The sequence below is a fragment of the Homo sapiens genome, chromosome 6 (assembly GCF_000001405.40).
Source record: "Homo sapiens chromosome 6, GRCh38.p14 Primary Assembly".
NCBI lineage: Eukaryota > Metazoa > Chordata > Mammalia > Primates > Hominidae > Homo > Homo sapiens.
This window is the reverse complement of record NC_000006.12, coordinates 161,642,539-161,659,142: the sequence shown is the minus strand read 5'-3', so window position 1 is coordinate 161,659,142 and position 16,604 is coordinate 161,642,539. Positions and strand designations below refer to the sequence as shown.

At 41.8% G+C, this 16,604-nt stretch overlaps 1 protein-coding gene across 6 annotated transcripts in view, besides 2 other annotated features; it reads left to right on the top strand.

Moving 5' to 3' along the window:
• PRKN (parkin RBR E3 ubiquitin protein ligase) overlaps nt 1-16,604 on the top strand; it is a 1,380,350-nt gene that overhangs the window by 1,068,624 nt on the left and 295,122 nt on the right. The gene's annotated exons all lie outside the window — the stretch shown is intronic.
• Nucleotides 4,159-5,358: an enhancer, noted in NCBI's record as "MED14-independent group 3 enhancer chr6:162074817-162076016 (GRCh37/hg19 assembly coordinates)". NCBI's record gives its function as "activates an origin of replication core promoter dependent on BRD2, BRD4, P300/CBP and CDK7 cofactors, and independent of MED14, by STARR-seq in HCT116 cells {active_cell/tissue: HCT116}" and the evidence as "EXISTENCE:reporter gene assay evidence [ECO:0000049][PMID:35650434]".
• Nucleotides 5,574-5,867: a silencer, noted in NCBI's record as "fragment chr6:162074308-162074601 (GRCh37/hg19 assembly coordinates)". NCBI's record gives its function as "represses an EF-1alpha promoter that drives an FKBP-Casp9 reporter gene in an ReSE screen in HepG2 liver carcinoma cells {active_cell/tissue: HepG2}" and the evidence as "EXISTENCE:reporter gene assay evidence [ECO:0000049][PMID:32094911]".

Below are 16,604 nucleotides of genomic sequence, written 5' to 3'. Positions count from 1 at the left end.
ACTGAGAATGTGGTGCTCAGCATAGCTGAAGCACAGAACATAGATTTGTCAGGCAGTCACAGTCAAGGACAATGGAGAGACCAGCAGTTATGGGGCAGTTAAACATGTACTAAATGGTAGTCGCTGTGCTCAGCACAACATGAGTTCCAGGGACTCAGCACTGGGCCTCCTCTCGTCCTCAGTTTCTTATTCTATGCCCTCTGAAGCAGGTTCAGAATCTTCTAGACAGACAGAATTAATGAATAAAACAATGAATTGTCACACATAGAACTTTTAATGTGCAGGACCTGGACAACATAAGGGGTTAAAAATCAAGCCCATTGTAATAACAGCTCCTTGCTGTTGAATATTTACTTCTTCTATTTGATCCCTAAACAGTATGCTGTGAGTATCATAGAATATCGCATTCCCTTCCTCAGTGAATTTTTTTAAATGTCTGCTTCTTAAGGATGAAATATTTGTAAAGTTGGAGGAACTACTCAAAGCCCTATTATTTCGCATGTCCCCAAGCTCCACCTCTGATAAATTTTTTGTACCGGTAAAGACAGCATGTGATTTGTAAAATTTGTACCCATAGTAATTAAAAATATGACCTTTATCCAGATCCTGTTGCAGAGGCACTTATGAATTCCTCTAAAGTACACTCTCCCGCTGTTATTGTTGTTAGAAACATGTTTCCACTGGTTGACTTTTCAAAGATGATTTCTAGTTTTAAATGATTAACTTTGCTGCTGTGTTATAAGTCACTGGACTGAGAGGGGGTAATTGTGGTTGAAAGACCAGCACAAGAGAACTCTTTTCTCTTTATTGAAAGGTGATGCGATCTCATGTAATAATTGACCAACACTTCCAATTAACGGAGCATGGCTCATGAATAATGCAATTATTCTTTTGATTAAAGTAATCTCAGAAAGAAATTGCATTTCTGAAAAAAAAATACAATTTAATATATACATGCCATAGTAAATTCTGTTGCTTTTTGTTGGTGGAGCTTATCATGCAAGGTAAATGGAAATAAGAAAACTCTACAATGTGGCTGAAATTTGTGTGACATCCTTTTAAAATGTGAGTAGTTTCAACTGGCACACCGTTTTTTTCTTTTCTTTTCTTTTTTTTTTTTTTTTTTTGAGACAGAGTCTCAGTCTGTTGATCAGGCTGGAGTGCAATGGGGCAATCTTCACTCACTGCAACCTCCTCCTCCCGGGTTCCAGCGATTCTCCTGCCTCAGCCTCCCGAGTGGGCACCTGCCACCATGCCAGCTAATTTTTTTTGTATTTTTAGTAGAGACAAGGTTTCACCATATTGGCCATGCCCGTCTCCAACTCCTGGCCTAAAGTGATTCACCCACCACGGCCTCCCAAAGTGCTGGGATTACAAGTGTGAGCCACCGTGCCCAGCCTAGTATACTCGTTTTTAATTCATGTTTCAAGTTGATCTAGATGGGGAACCAATTTATTTTTAATGTCGAGTGAGGCTGTGTCAAGAAACAGAAGCAGAGTTCATATTCTCAGCCCTTAAACTGGTGGACTGTTAGCAATTTGGTTGTTGCAACGTTGAATGTTTTGGAAGTGAGTTCCATCTCCTTAGGAAAATAAGACAGGTGTTTGCAGGATTTTTAAAAAATTACTAATGAAAAGCTAGAGCATCAGGAAAGGCCAGCCTGTGGGTGCGGGTGGAGAGGCCACTCACACAGGGTCTTGAATGCTCTTCCAGAGATGTGGAGCAGGATCCTAGGAGCAGTGGCAAGCCACTGAGGAGATTTGAAATAAAAGAGCATCTTATTCATATTCGCCTTTAAAAAACTAATTATGTCTAAAAGGGCCTAATAGGAAGCCAGCCAGAGAGAAGACTGTCCCAGAAATCTACATGAGAAGTGGCGGCATGGGCGATCCAGAGCCGTGAGGTCACTGGGACAAGCTGAGATGTGGGGGTCAAAGAGAACGAAGAGTTAAGGTGATTCTCGGGTGTCTGGATTTGGAACTGAACAGAGAGTAGTGCCCTTGGCTTATGATTAGACAGAATGATAATAAAGAACTGTTGTGCACTCAATTTTGGACTGAATTTTTAGTGTCTGAGAGATGTCCAGGTGGAAGTGTCAAGTTGACTTCTGTGATACAGATTGGTGAGTCAGTAACCAAATATTTTTTGGAGAATCTGTTGGCGCCAAGTACCATTCTAGGGTCAGAAACACACAACTTACGAGTCCCCGTCTTCGTTGACATTCGTGTGTTTTATTTGACCCTAAAGCAGTATTATATGATTTCCTTAGAATATCACGTCACCTGTCTGGTGAATTTGGGAAGAGGTAGGGGGATATACAATAAACATGAGAACAAATCAATAAGATAATTTTAGATGCTGGTGAGTATTTTGGAGAAGATAAATTAGGACACTGTGGTTGAGAGTGACCAAGGGGCCAAGGGTGGGAGCTACTTGATCAAGTTCAGAGAAGGCCTCTGTGCCCCTCATCAGGATCTGGAATTCAAATGAAAAGTTGGGGCTAGAGACAGAGATTTGGAATCATCCTCGTTGAGATGCTGGTTAAAGGACTGAAACGTTTCATTGGATTTAGGAACCAGTAGGCATGTTCCACGGCATCTCAGAGTCCCTGGAAGGTCTCTGCAGGCCTCCTCCCAACTCCAACAGCTCAGAGCAGTGGGGGGTGCTGCAGAGAGTGCCCCTGTCCTGTGGGGTTAGCTTAGGAAGACTGGTAGCAGAACCCCTAATGCTGTGTTCTGGAGGCGGGTGGAAAATCAAAGCCAGTGAAGCCTATCAGGACATCAGTCCAAGGACATGCAACACTGGGGCCTAAGACGGGGAGGAACAGAAGTGTGAGAGGCGCGGATGGATGGCAGAGCAGTCAGGTGGGAGGCTCCTGAAGCAACTCAAAGATGCAGCAGGGGCCCGAGCGCTGACTTTCAGTCTGCACGCCCATCGCTGAGGATTTCGCTCCTTGACCGAATGGTTTGGAGAACAGGTCTTCTTTCAGAATGTCATCTTCCCGCAAGTTAATATTCTGAAGTGGAGAAAACAAGCTCCAAAGTTACCCGAGCTGCCACAGTCAGCTTTTGGAGGCAGCGGGCTACCTCGGCTGTCTCCCCAGACTAGAAAGCTGTAACAAACGTGGTTTATTCTGGAAGCAGCCAGGAAGATGCTCAGTTGCTTTCTGATTTATACCATACACGTGAATCAAAGAATGTGACTGAAATATTTATGCATATGACCGTGTGTGTGTGTGTGTGTGTGTGTGTGTGTGTATGTGTGTGTGTGTGTGTGCATGTGTGTTGATATGCCTGTGTGGTGAGTTTGAACTGGAAATCAATAATCAACATGTGTCAACTCATTTTATTTTCTGTAACTTTTCTTTGACAAGCTGCCAATTTCTCTCAGCAGCAGGAGAACTAAATTTAGTCCAACCTAGTAAAATCAGTGTAATCATTTTTTAGCTACTTCTGGTTTAAAACCTAGACTCTTTTTGACAGTATCCAGTTGATTCCAGTATTGTCGTTATTGTGGACATTGTTCACAGTTTAAAGCCTTTCTCTCTCGGTTTGGCAAAGCTTAGCCCCAGATGGAGTGGACTGTCTGCAGAGGGGTCTCTTCCCTGTTCTCTTCTTCCATGTGCTGACGGAGGTGAGAGGCTGGGTGGGCCCAGGAACGCCTCTGTGACAGTGCACCTTGGTGGTGATGAGGGGCCAGGCCCGTGCCAATGGTGGTGAGAGCCTGGGTGGGCCCAGGAACGCCTCTGTAACTGGGTACCTTGCTGGTGATGAGGGGCCAGGCCCATGCTAATGACGGTGAGAGCCTGGGTGGGCCCAGGAATGCCTCTGTGACAGTGCACCTTGGTGGTGATGAGGGGCCAGGCCCATGCTAATGACGCTGAGAGCATGGGTGGGCCCAGGAATGCCTCTGTAACTGGGCACCTTGCTGGTGATGAGGGGCCAGGCCCATGCTAATGATGCTGAGAGCCTGGGTGGGCCCAGGAATGCCTCTGTAACTGGGCACCTTGCTGGTGATGAGGGGCCAGGCCCATGCTAATGACGCTGAGAGCCTGGGTGGGCCCAGGAATGCCTCTGTGACGGTGCACCTTGGTGGTGATGAGGGACTGGGCCCATGCTGACACCTCGTCTGGCTCTGACTGCAGCTGTCCTCACCCTGTCAGCTCTCAGACCAGAGCTTCTACCCTTGTTCCTTTGGAGCTGAGTGGCACACCATAGTCACACCACCCTGTCTTCCAGGATCTGGGCAAGGCTGCACTCCTAGAGTGGGCCATCCACCCTTGTCTCTTCTGAAAGGGTCCCTCCCAGGGGGCGTGGTAAGCTGGTTATGCCCCTGTGGCCTTTGCTGGCCTCCTTCTCTCCATGGGAAGCCATGCCTCCGTGGGAGACAGGTGACCTTTCGCCACCACCATGCTCACTGTGTCCCTTTGTCTTCTCTACATCCTACGTAGATACACACGTGGGAGGTGCACACAGTAGGCCTGAGGTTTCTTTGTCTGCATCCGAAGCAATTTTTAAAAGCCCCACTGCCCTGGGATTTCCTAAACCTTAGATGTTAGAAGTTTTCTAAGAAACTGCCACCTTCCAGACTGACAGACCAGAAAGGAGACCAAGAAAGGGATCTGGGTCCAAGCCCCTGGCCCTTCCTTGATCGTCTTCTATCCTCCTCCCTCTCGGCATTGCAGGGGCCAGGCTTCTTCATGGCTGCTGGAGACTTTGCTGTGTCATCAGTGCGTCCTCCCGGAAGTGGCCTTTGCTCCCCTTTGCCCTGGAGCCATAATAAATGAAGGGCTTCCGGGGTACATGATTTGATATCTTTCACAGTAGCCACACGGGTAAGCATAAACCAAATGATGTATACATTTTCAGGTAGGGCCAATCCAAATGCAAAAGGAAAATAACATAATTAAGTTTATAAAAAATGATTCTCTGGATGTGAAAATTGGCTAAATTTTTATTGACTCGACTTTTTTTTAATTGTTTTCACCTTCATTTTTAAAAATGCCTTTTAGAGCCAAGTGCGGTGGCTCACACCTGCGCTCCTAGCTACTCAGGAGGCTGAGGCCAGAGGATCACTTGTGGCCAAGAGTCGAGACCAGCCTCAACAACATGGCAAGATCCCCATCTTTAAAAAAAAAATGCATTTTATTCAGTTATCTAAATAACATTAGAGACTATCAGATCCCAAATGTTTAATAGAGTTCTGTTTTGTGCTAGGCAATGTGACCCCAGCGTGCTCCTGTGACATGTTTCCCTGAAGGCTGGCCGGCCAGTTTACAAGCAGAATTTTCCTCTTAGGAGTCTTCACAGTTACATCAAAGAATCTTCAGTCCAGTAATGTTTCCAATCTTTGGAATCTTACCCTTAAATGTGCTCTCCTAACAAAAGAAAATCTATAAAGACCCACAATATACAACAGATACATCAGACCTTAATCACCAAATGAAGTATTTATAGTATATATACGATGTACTTCTCTATTCTGTGGTGGAGGACAGACAGTGGGAAGTATGAACTAGTTATTCCTAAATGGCTAGAGAGAATGTTGCAGTTAGTGGAACAAAGTTCCTAGAGGGAACTACATGAAATTCATGGCACGCACCCGGATGATATTTACTGGGAGCATTTTATGATGTGTGTGAGGTGGAGAGGCTAATACTGATGATGGCGGTTTTCAATGAGGGAGCATGCCATGAGTACCCAGCCAGGGTCTGGGTGAGTACTTCTTCATGCAGCACTGTTGATTTGCATCTTTGTTGTTGTTTTGTTGTTGTTTTTGAGAAGATTCAGTCTCACTCTGTTGCCAGGCTGGAGTGCAGTGGCGTGATCTCGGCTCACTGCAACCTCCGCCTCCTGGGTTCAAGCAATTCTCCTGCCTCAGCCTGCTGAGTAGCTGGGACTACAGGCATGCGCCACCACGCCCAGCTATTTTTTTTTGTATTTTTAATAGAGACGGGGTTTCACCATGTTGGCCAGGATGGTCTCGATCTTTGACCTTGTGATCCACCCACCTCGGCCTCCCAAAGTGCTGGGATTACAGGCATAAGCCACCGCGCCCAGCCAATTTGTATCTTATGTAGCACATACTTCTAAAGAATCAGAGGTATTGCTCATGATAAGTCAACATTGATTCCGATGAAGCAAGATGTGTACGGGATAGTGAAGGATTTATGGTTAATTGCAGACAGATTTTATGTTTGGGTTTAATGCCATCTAGGTACTTTTCGTCAGTTTGAAAAACTATGTTGAATTGGTATTAAAAGCAAATTCAGCTTTTATAACTTTACATCACCTGGGGCTCTTTGGAAGTTTCCTTTAAAGTATTTTCTGCTTTGCCACCTCCTCTTAACTTTTAATAGCTGGTTTGGTTGTATTCTAGCATGCAATAAGTAATTTCCAAAGTCACATAAATAGCTAGAGAGTATCACATTATCTTCTCCATTAGAATCATATATCATGTTTTACTTCTTTATATCTACATACATAAGTTATTTCTTAATTTCTATATCAAAATTATCTATTGTTTTAGAATAATAAGAACAAATAACTTACTATAAATGTCAGTAATCCCTTATCGCTACACATTGGACTGTAGTTTAAGAATGTAATGATAAAACTAGAAAAATACTTAAAGCAACATAAACCCCTATGTGTGAATGCAAGGTGAAAAGATTTTCTTATATAAATATAATACTATAGTCTACTTGATAGACCTTCATTTATGAATGATAATTTAGTGATTATATCATATCCGTTTCCCCACAAGGGCTTTAAATTTAAATTAATGGTGTTCCAGGTACCCTGTGAGGCTGATTTTTGCTGCCATACCTTGACTTGCATTTTCTGCTGACATTGATACATTAGTTCTGTCTATCACTACCCTGACTTTCTTTTATACAAATAGCCCTGTCTTTAGATATACATGTGTAACAAAACAGCATTTCCTCATGGCTAATGCTGCCCCTGTTTCTTGCTATGAGTGATTGAGATGCTTTTGGGCAGATGTCTGCATAAACTAAAGTGCTGCACTATGAAACCTTACCAGTCATTCAGATTGATTATGCCGAAAGAACAAGTTGACACTAGGTAGGATAATAAGATGAGGGATGAAAATAATTTGTAAATTGGTTGGAAAAACTTGCAGAGTGTCATGAATTCTGTACTTCAGAAACATCAAAATGTTCAAATGCTCAGTGATGAATGTTTTTCTGTATAACACAGATGACTGTTGTATGGGTTTTATGAAATTCCTATTATATAATGGAGGAACACATTACCTTTGATTTCCATTTGTGGGTCCCAGCTCAGGGCTCTTGGTAAGGGTGTGTGATTTATACAAGAAACAGTATATAGAGACATCTGAAATCTCTTTTGACAAGAAACTTTTTGCAATGTTTAGTTTAGAAATGAACTTTAAAAGGTATATCAGCTTATGGAATACTAAGGGTTTTCTTTGAGTCACTGAAAAAGCTGCCCTGTATGATGATTGTCATCTGCAATACCTTAATAACCTGACCACACTTCCAGGATAGGGCGGTGGGTTAGGCTTTCTTATGCTACTCACAGCCCCTGGAGAGATGAGAAACACTTGGTAAGTATCCATCAGATAAACCCTAAAGATATCATAGTGAAAATGCCTAAGTGGCTAAAGAATAGTATTTCTCAAGCTATATTTTCCAGTGAGATTACTTGGTCTTCTTGGTAAAATGCAGACCCTCTGCTCCCACCCTCAGGGACTTATTCAGGAGGAACATACAGGTTGACAGCACCTGGCCCATACTTGAAGAAACCATATTAGAGACTTAAAGACATGGTCCGTGGTGTTTGCTGGGACCAAGAAGAGTACAGATAATTAGTTATGGGAGAGAAAGAGACACCAAAGGGGATGAAGTGCTTTTGATTTACATATTTTGACCCTGCTAATTGGAACCTAATTAGTACATTCCAAACACAGACATTAAGTATCTACTTGCAGTGATAAATCTTAGATGTATATGTCTTAATTGAAGCTAAACCTCTCTTCTTAAAGACAAGCATTAGATTTCCCTGATAAGGCAGTCTTAATCCATTGCTTGTCCTAAATGTGATCTATTAGATAAAGCAATGATACATATGAAAATTTAACAAAAGTGCATATTACCAGAGACACAAAGGAGATTATAATATAATAAACGTATTATGTAACAATTTCAGGATGTTAAATAAATGCAAAATGTAGCACACCCTTGGAAATGACAAATAACCATTATTAGAAAGAGCTCCTCTGAGGATATCATGAGAACTAAGGTAGCCAGGAAGGTGAGATGCACATGCTCCCTTCACTGTGCATTTAGTAAACATTCTCCAAGGCTGACTGTCTACACTCAAGACCAGACACCATGCCAGGAGCCAGTGAATGCACAGCCACTGATGGACAAGGACTTCACAAGCTCCTAGGTCTCCTAGATATGAGATTTGCCGAAATTCCTCATTGGCCGTATTACAAAATTGAAAGGCCGAGTACCAAAAGAGGTTAAGTAAAGTGATGTGGATGTTTACAGGATAAATCAATCTCTCTCGGTCTCCATTTCTCTCTGCCTCTCTCTCCCTGTCTCTGTTTGTCTTCTCTCTCTCTCTCTTTCTCTTTCTCTCAATCTCTCTCTTTGCAGATGTCACTTACAATTTCTGGTGACACAAGTTTGTACATATGTTCGTTGTAGTGCTGGGGAGTAGAGAAAGACAAACTGTATAAAACACAAGGAAATACCATGCTAAGACATTTAGGCACTAAATACATCAACATACCTTAAATTATAAATGTCTGGAAAGAGAATTCCTTATCGTAACAAAGCACCTTATCTTTAGGGTCTGGCATCTGAGTCTCTTAATTCTCTCTCCCTGTACAAACTCATAAAGAAAAGTTAGTAAAAAACTATACCACAGCTGACATAAACAAATATTGCATTATGCTCGTGGACTCTGTGGGTCAGGCATATAAGCAGAACATAGGAGCTGGCTTGCCTTTGTTGCAAAATTACTGGGTTATCATCTGGAACGACCTGTAGGTTGAGATAACTTGACCTCTGGGGACTGGTATGATCTGGGCGTCATCACAGTAGATGTTGGCTGTCTTCTGAGGCCTCAGCTGAGACTCTGGGCTGGCACACCTGCAGCGACCCTTCCATGTGGCTTGGGCTTCCTCACAACATGGTGGCTGACTTCCAAGTTGGGTCCTGTCAAGGAAACAAGGTGGAAGTGCATGACATGTTTATGACCTTAGCCTTCAAAGTCACATAGTGTCACTGTACCCTGTTGGTTGAGACACTCACAGTGTTCTGCCTGAGCTTGGGGAGAGACAACATTGTCCCTACCACTCAGTGGCGGAGTGTCAACCTGACATTGTGAGAAGAACATTCAAATGATAAATATGTGACAGCCATCTTTGGAAGATACAGTTGGCCATACTTTGGGTCTGGCATTTTAGTCATTTAATTCATTCTTTCTGATTAAAAGCCTTGAAATATATTACTTCAGAAGGTGAGAAATAAAACACAAAAGTCTCTTATGTCCTTTTCATAGGAAATAGGTCCATGAACTACGTCTCTAAACCATTCTGAACCTGGTTTATATAAACAGCTTAAGAAGTATGTCCCAAATGCTTGTCAGCCATTGGGTAAAATCAAACACGTACTTCTTTTATTTTATATACAGTCATGTTGCAAACAGAGAAGCAATCAACACCATTAATCCCTCAATATTTTCTTTAAGCCAGAGAAGCATCCTTACTGTTTCAAGTACTTCTTCACTGTTGCATCATGACAATAATGAGTTGAATGGCCCTGGTTCTCAGCACAGGTGCACTCAGCCCTAAGGCAAGCAAGAGGCCAGGAGGGTGCATTGTGAACGGCGCTCACCATAAGGAGACCATATGAGAGAGGGGGTCAGTCATGCAAATGTACTGATGTGAGTCAGCTGGGCCTCTTTTATGTTCCTCCAATTTTGAGAAGAATTGTCTCACTGTCTTTTCAACACTTTCTCTGGTTAGAACTGATTTCAGCACATTTGACAAATGTAGCAATGCTTTGTGAGGATACTATGTTATAATAATTAAACTAATAATTACAGGTGGTGTATTTAGCTACTTGCAAACTCACAGATGGCTAATATAGTTTTAAGGATCCCTGAAGAAAGTCATATATGTGACTAAGGTCTTGCAGAAAGAGTAAAGTAGAAAATTTAATTTCTGAATTAATTGCTTTATTCCTAAGAGACGTTGCCCTTGATAGCTCTGCATACTCTGGAGGATTTTCCAAGTTCATGGTTGACTCTATGGCTGTGTTTTTGGCTCTAGGACACTGTGACATTCTGTGAAATGTGTTCTAGACTGGGCTTGAATGCTTAAGTTTAGTACAAAGAATTATGCTGTTGATCTACTGCAGACACCTGAACCTAAGCTTGAAATGCAAATAATAGGTTTTCTGCAACGAATTACAAAGGCAAACAGAAGCCATCCCTATCCAGAGAATGAACTACACCTCACAGTTAAAACAGAAAACTGGAGAGGAGGTGATTTACTATGGCTACTCTTAATAGTGAAGACAGAATAATACTGTTTAATTTTATGAGAATCCACATTGGCAATTAAGAACTATAGGGCTGGCTCCATGGACAGTTGCAGGAAAGTCCACAGACTATCCCTGGCCCCTATAAACATGAGCCTAGGTGTTTGTTCTCCTCCCTACTGTTTCATTAAACTCTGATGGACACACACCCTTGCCCCCGATCTATTGATGGCTTATATACTGGGATAATGGGCAGAAGGGATATATACTCAGTAAGACCTCCCTTATGGATCAAAGCTTTGTCTACATACTACTGAGCTGTTGACTTTGAGGCTTTTATTACACTTTCAGAATATGAAAATGCATTTCTGTACAATCCATATCTGTGTGAGTTTAAAAAAATAATAAGGCAAAACTACAATTACTTCTGGCCACTGTCCTTGGGCATCTCAAGGCTATCAGATCTTTTACTGGAGAAGCAAGCTTGTTTTGTCTCCACCTGAATAATCCCTGGCTGGAAGAGAGCCAAAAGACCACATTTCAGCATTTCTACCCATTCTGTGCATCATGCACCAGTAATAAATGCCCAAGTAAACAAAGAGATGAAATAGCAATGCTATAGCCATAAAACCAATTCTATTGATTTTATTCCAGCAAATCTCATACCGTACTAAATTTCTCAGAAGCACGAAAATATCTAGGCCTTTATTGCTCACTTTAACTGGGCTCTTTGCATGCTCTTATTTTGTTTTAATAAATTATCTGAAAGGATTAAAATTAAAACATGATTCTTTTCCTAATGCTAAAAGCACTTCTGTGACACAATATGCTTAACACTGAAGAAACTCAATAAAACAAAATTATATCCCAGGATAGAAAGATTTAGAACATTAGCAAACTTCTTCATTTAGATGACTAATATGTTTTTCTCAATGGGATTTTGAGCATGTTTGTATCAGCACAGCCCAAATCTGAAAACTCTTACTATTTCTATTGAAAAAAAAAAATGTTGACAAGGAATATACTCTCTGAGTATGGGCCCATACCCAGTTGCACTTTTAAACACAGGAAGTTTGTGCTGGCAGCAGGATTTAATTGACTGAGCTGTGGTGGTGGCTGCACTTGTCATCTCTGCTTACTATGCTCTGTTTTTAAATATTTATTGACTTCACACACTCTGCACGATGGCTGCTCAGAGACCTTAGCCCTGACTGAAGAAGCCACTGCAGGGTGAGCAGGGGCAGAGAGCCACGCCTGTCGACGAGATGCTATTAACCAGTTTTTGCTCTGCCCCTGTCATGCCCTATCAGACCCTCTCTTATTTTGTATGTTCTGCATACTGTTCAGAAGATAACAGTTGGAAACAATATATGAAAAGGCTCTGAATGGAAATCCTTATAGGTAAGGATGTACGTCTCAGGGAAGGGTTCGGTGAATCACTCTGGGTTACACAGCTAGTTGGGGACAGGTGTAGGACACCTTCCACAACCTGTTACTATTAATACAATTTCCCCTGCACCATATTACATTATGAGCACAATTTCCTTCAGAGAGAAAAATATCAACATTCAATGTCTCATATTTCCACTTGATTGCCACTGATCTTATTGTAGTTCAGAGCCAATAGGAAATTAAGTGTTTTATCAAAAATAAATTTGAAACAGATAAATGTACTTTCTTTCCTACAGGGGCCAAATTTAGTATGAATTTTTTAAAAGTGCCCAGGATTCTAGAACAGCAATGGAACCATCAGTACAAATTGTAGGGGACCAGAACTAAAGGAGTCTGAAGATCCTAAACTCAAGATCCCAATCCTGTTTGGGTTGTGGCATTCAACTCCCAGGGTCCCACTGTGCTTAACCAATAGGGGCTATTTGTAAATGCATCCATGGCTTAGGAGGCTGCATCAAACACCACCCATCCATACAATGAGCCCTGTCACTGACGTTTCGCCTCCTCCACGCGTATGAACGCAGTGACTACTGTCACTGATACACCACCTCCTCCGCCACGCACGCACACGCAGTCACCACTCTCACTGACACGCCACCTCCTCCGCCACGCACGCACACGCAGTCACCACTGTCACTCATACGCCACCTCCTCCACCACGCATGCACACGCAGTCACCACTGTCACTAATACGCCGCCTCCTCCACCACGCACGCACACGCAGTGACCACTGTCACTGATACGCCACCTCCTCCGCCACGCACGCACACGCAGTCACCACTGTCACTCATACGCCACCTCCTCCGCCACGCACGCACACGCAGTCACCACTGTCACTGATACGCCACCTCCTCCGCCACGCACGCACACGCAGTCACCACTGTCACTGATACGCCACCTCCTCCGCCACGCACGCACACGCAGTCACCACTGTCACTGATACGCCGCCTCCTCCACCACGCACGCACACGCAGTCACCACTGTCACTGATACGCCGCCTCCTCCGCCACGCACGCACACGCAGTGACCACTGTCACTGATACGCCGCCTCCTCCGCCACGCACGCACACGCAGTCACCACTGTCACTGATACGCCGCCTCCTCCACCACGCATGCACACGCAGTCACCACTGTCACTGATACGCCACCTCCTCCGCCACGCACGCACACGCAGTGACCACTGTCACTGATACGCCACCTCCTCCGCCACGCATGCACACGCAGTCACCACTGTCACTGATACGCCGCCTCCTCCGCCACCTGCGCTGGCATGGCTGAGACAGCGGCCTTTTCTAACTTATTTCCCTTTTCAAGACTGTTTCTACTGGACATGTTGGCATGATTTCATCTGTATAATGACTTTGAAGAGGGCACAGTGCCATTATTCTGCTCTTAAACCCCGTGTCCATGCAATACAAAGTGATGGACACTTTATTGTGATTTCATTGATAAATTAAGGGAAGTTTTAATTAGGCAACAATGCCAAATGCACATATAGCTAGGACATTAACATCCATCTAACATAATATAAATTGAATGAAACTGCAAAATAGTTGAATGGGAATAAAACCAAATCAATCAAACTGCTTTATAGGATTATGCTCTATAAAAAATTTTAGTAAGAATTTTCATTTTATAAACGTTTAAGTTGAATGTTTTGAAATGATTGCTATAATGACTACAGTGATTTTCAGGAATTTGGAAATTCAGTAATGTTATCATTTATCCCAATGATTAAATGAGACCAATAATTCCAACTGATTTCCATGAGTTTACCTGAACATACCTTTGTCAAGTGCGTTTCAGATCATGGTTGACAAGTTGAATGGTATCTGTGGTTTAAGTTAAGCATCTACATCCCCAAATATCGGTTAGTATGTTTCCGTAATTCATTTTTTTTTTTTTTTGGCTATTTATTGAGGAAATTAGTCCTGAGATTATTCCGTAAGATTTTGAAACATCATCAGTCATATATTTTGCACAATTATAGTAGGAAGTAGAGTCAGAATACTTGGGTTTTAGTCACTGCTCTGCCAAATATTAACCATCTAATATTGGACCATTGGCTTCCCATCTTTGAATTTTTTTTTCTTATTGATAAAATGTCACAGAAACAAAATCTAACCAATTCTACTCACTCCTGGGTTGGCTATAAGGATAAATGATATGCAGGTTGGCAAGGACAGATTCTAGGTCTTACCCCTACTTCTGCTTCCAGTCTGGTTTTATTAGTCAGGATGATCTCCATTGTAATAGAATCCAACTAAAGTTAGCTTTAACAAAAAAGAGAATTATTTGTGCAGCTGAGTCATTTCGGGCAGCCTTGGCTGTTGGCCTGCCTGGGTGCATGTCCTCAAATGACGTCTCGAAGCTGTCTGTCTTCCCTTCACTCGGCTCTCATGCCATGTTTACTGCTCTCAAATAGACTCTCTCCCCAGGTGGTAGCAGAGATGAGCACAGGTAGTTCCCTATCTATATTTCCCTGGCTTAGCCAAAACCATATGTCCAAGCCAACAGACGCCATGAAGACATGAGAGATCTGAATGGCAGTGCCTAGGTCAGGCGCCCACACTTGGACCTGGGAGATGAGACAAGCCCACTTGAATCAAACGAACTAAGGGCAGGGAAAGATGTAGCTGCCGGAAGACATGCCAGGCAGGCGAAATCCACGTGTCTACCACCTCTTCCAGGGAGGACAGACAGAATCCAAATGTACTTTCTTCCCATTTATAAACCTTCAAAGACTATCCTTAACTAATATGCAACTCTCTCACATACAATAACAGCAAGATGAGTCATGTCTTTCAAAACTGACATGCATTTCCTAGCCTGATCCAGATACCATTTTTATGGATGATCAATCTGTAGATAAATGCCCTAACCTGAGTGAATCCCTAACTTTGCACCCAACAGTCTGGTTAGTTTGGGTCAGGGAATTTGGGTTTTCCAAATTTTAAGCCTCCTAATTAGCTGACTCCAAGCATCCCTCATTGCTCACAGCCAAGAGTTAGAACCCCTCTCAAAAAGACTATGCTTTTTCCCTCTGAGATTGGAGGTGAGCCACCTTGGAGGAAAGATTCTCCTTCCTGCGGGACCCTACCAGTTGTCACAAGAAGCAGCTACTGAAGTTAATAGTTTTTTACTTGCTCCTCTGGCATTGATGAACTGTGGCCCCCCCCACCAAGATATCTTAAGACAGGCTAAAAAAAATTCACATGTCAAACTGGCATATAACAGACATTCAATCAATGCTAATGAAATAAATAATACTGGAGAAAGTACTTTATGCCATGGAAGTAATTTTGTAAATGTCATTGTTGTTATTATTATGCCTAATATGAAAGTTTTTTTAAAAAAAATTTTACTTGTTTTAGTAGTAAAAAGTGGGTCGAGAGAGATTAATGAGAATAGATGGTATAAAACTCAAGATTCAGATAATTTTTGAGATGACACTGATGTCCCTCTCTATCTAATGCGTTAGCCAGGTTTAAGAACTGAATCATCTTAGCTATTGAGAGATAGTTATATGACATCTTTGGAATACCTAAATAAAGTAGATTGCAATATACACTTCTTAATATCTGTTCACTGGCCTATGTTTAAATGAATTTAACTTTTTGGTTAAAGATGTCCATTTAGAATATATTATTTTTCCGAGAGTAAACACTATTGAATTTGAGTTATCTAAATTTAGTAGCATAAAAAATGTTCTCCTAGCAATGTATATAGAAGAGGCTCACAAGTTAACCAACATCCTTCAGTTCCTCTGAAATACATCCCTAGTGATGTCCATAGCATGCTAAATATTTGAGACTAGAGAGCTTCAGCATTTCTCCTCCCTCCGGTTTAATTGTGTGTTTTAACAAGTCAGTTGTGTTCCTTTGCAGACCTGTTTTTACTAGTTGTGCTTAATATGGATTTCTTAATTTAATTAAAAAAATCAAGTAAGCCAGGAAACCATCAATGAAAAAAGAAGTGTTTCTACAAAAAACTAAGTTGAGTGATTTGCAAAGATTTAATAAAGCAGGCTTATTAGAAAACTATTGTTGAGCTATTTGCATGCAGAATTACTATAAAAATGAAAGAATCTAAAACTCGAAACCAATTCTGACTTCAGATTGCATTGTTACTGTCCTTATGTCCTAGTTTTACTTTAAAGAAATTGAAACCAGAAACTAGAAAGACTGATTTAAAAGAATGATGACTGGACACTCCAAGAAGTAGATCTATGCTTTAAAAAATAAAACAGGCTTTGATCTTCCATTAAAAGATTGCTATATAAGTGTATGTTTAAATGTTTTTAAAAATAATAAAACATGCATCAATTTTCTGATTAACCCACCACATTTACATCATAGTAAGGAGTTCCTTCTATCCTTGGCTCTGCCTCTCTTCTCACCAGAAATTCTTATTTTGGCTTTTCTTTTTTCCAACTTCTCCCAATTCCTCCACTGACTTTTTGTTGTTGTTATTGTTGTTGTAGTTTTTAAAATTTTTGTGGGTACTTAGTATGTGTATACCTCCACTGACTTCTTAGACCTCTCTGTTACACCTGACACCTTATTTTTTGTCTTTTTTTAAAAAGTGATTGACTAGTAACTCAGTTAAGACT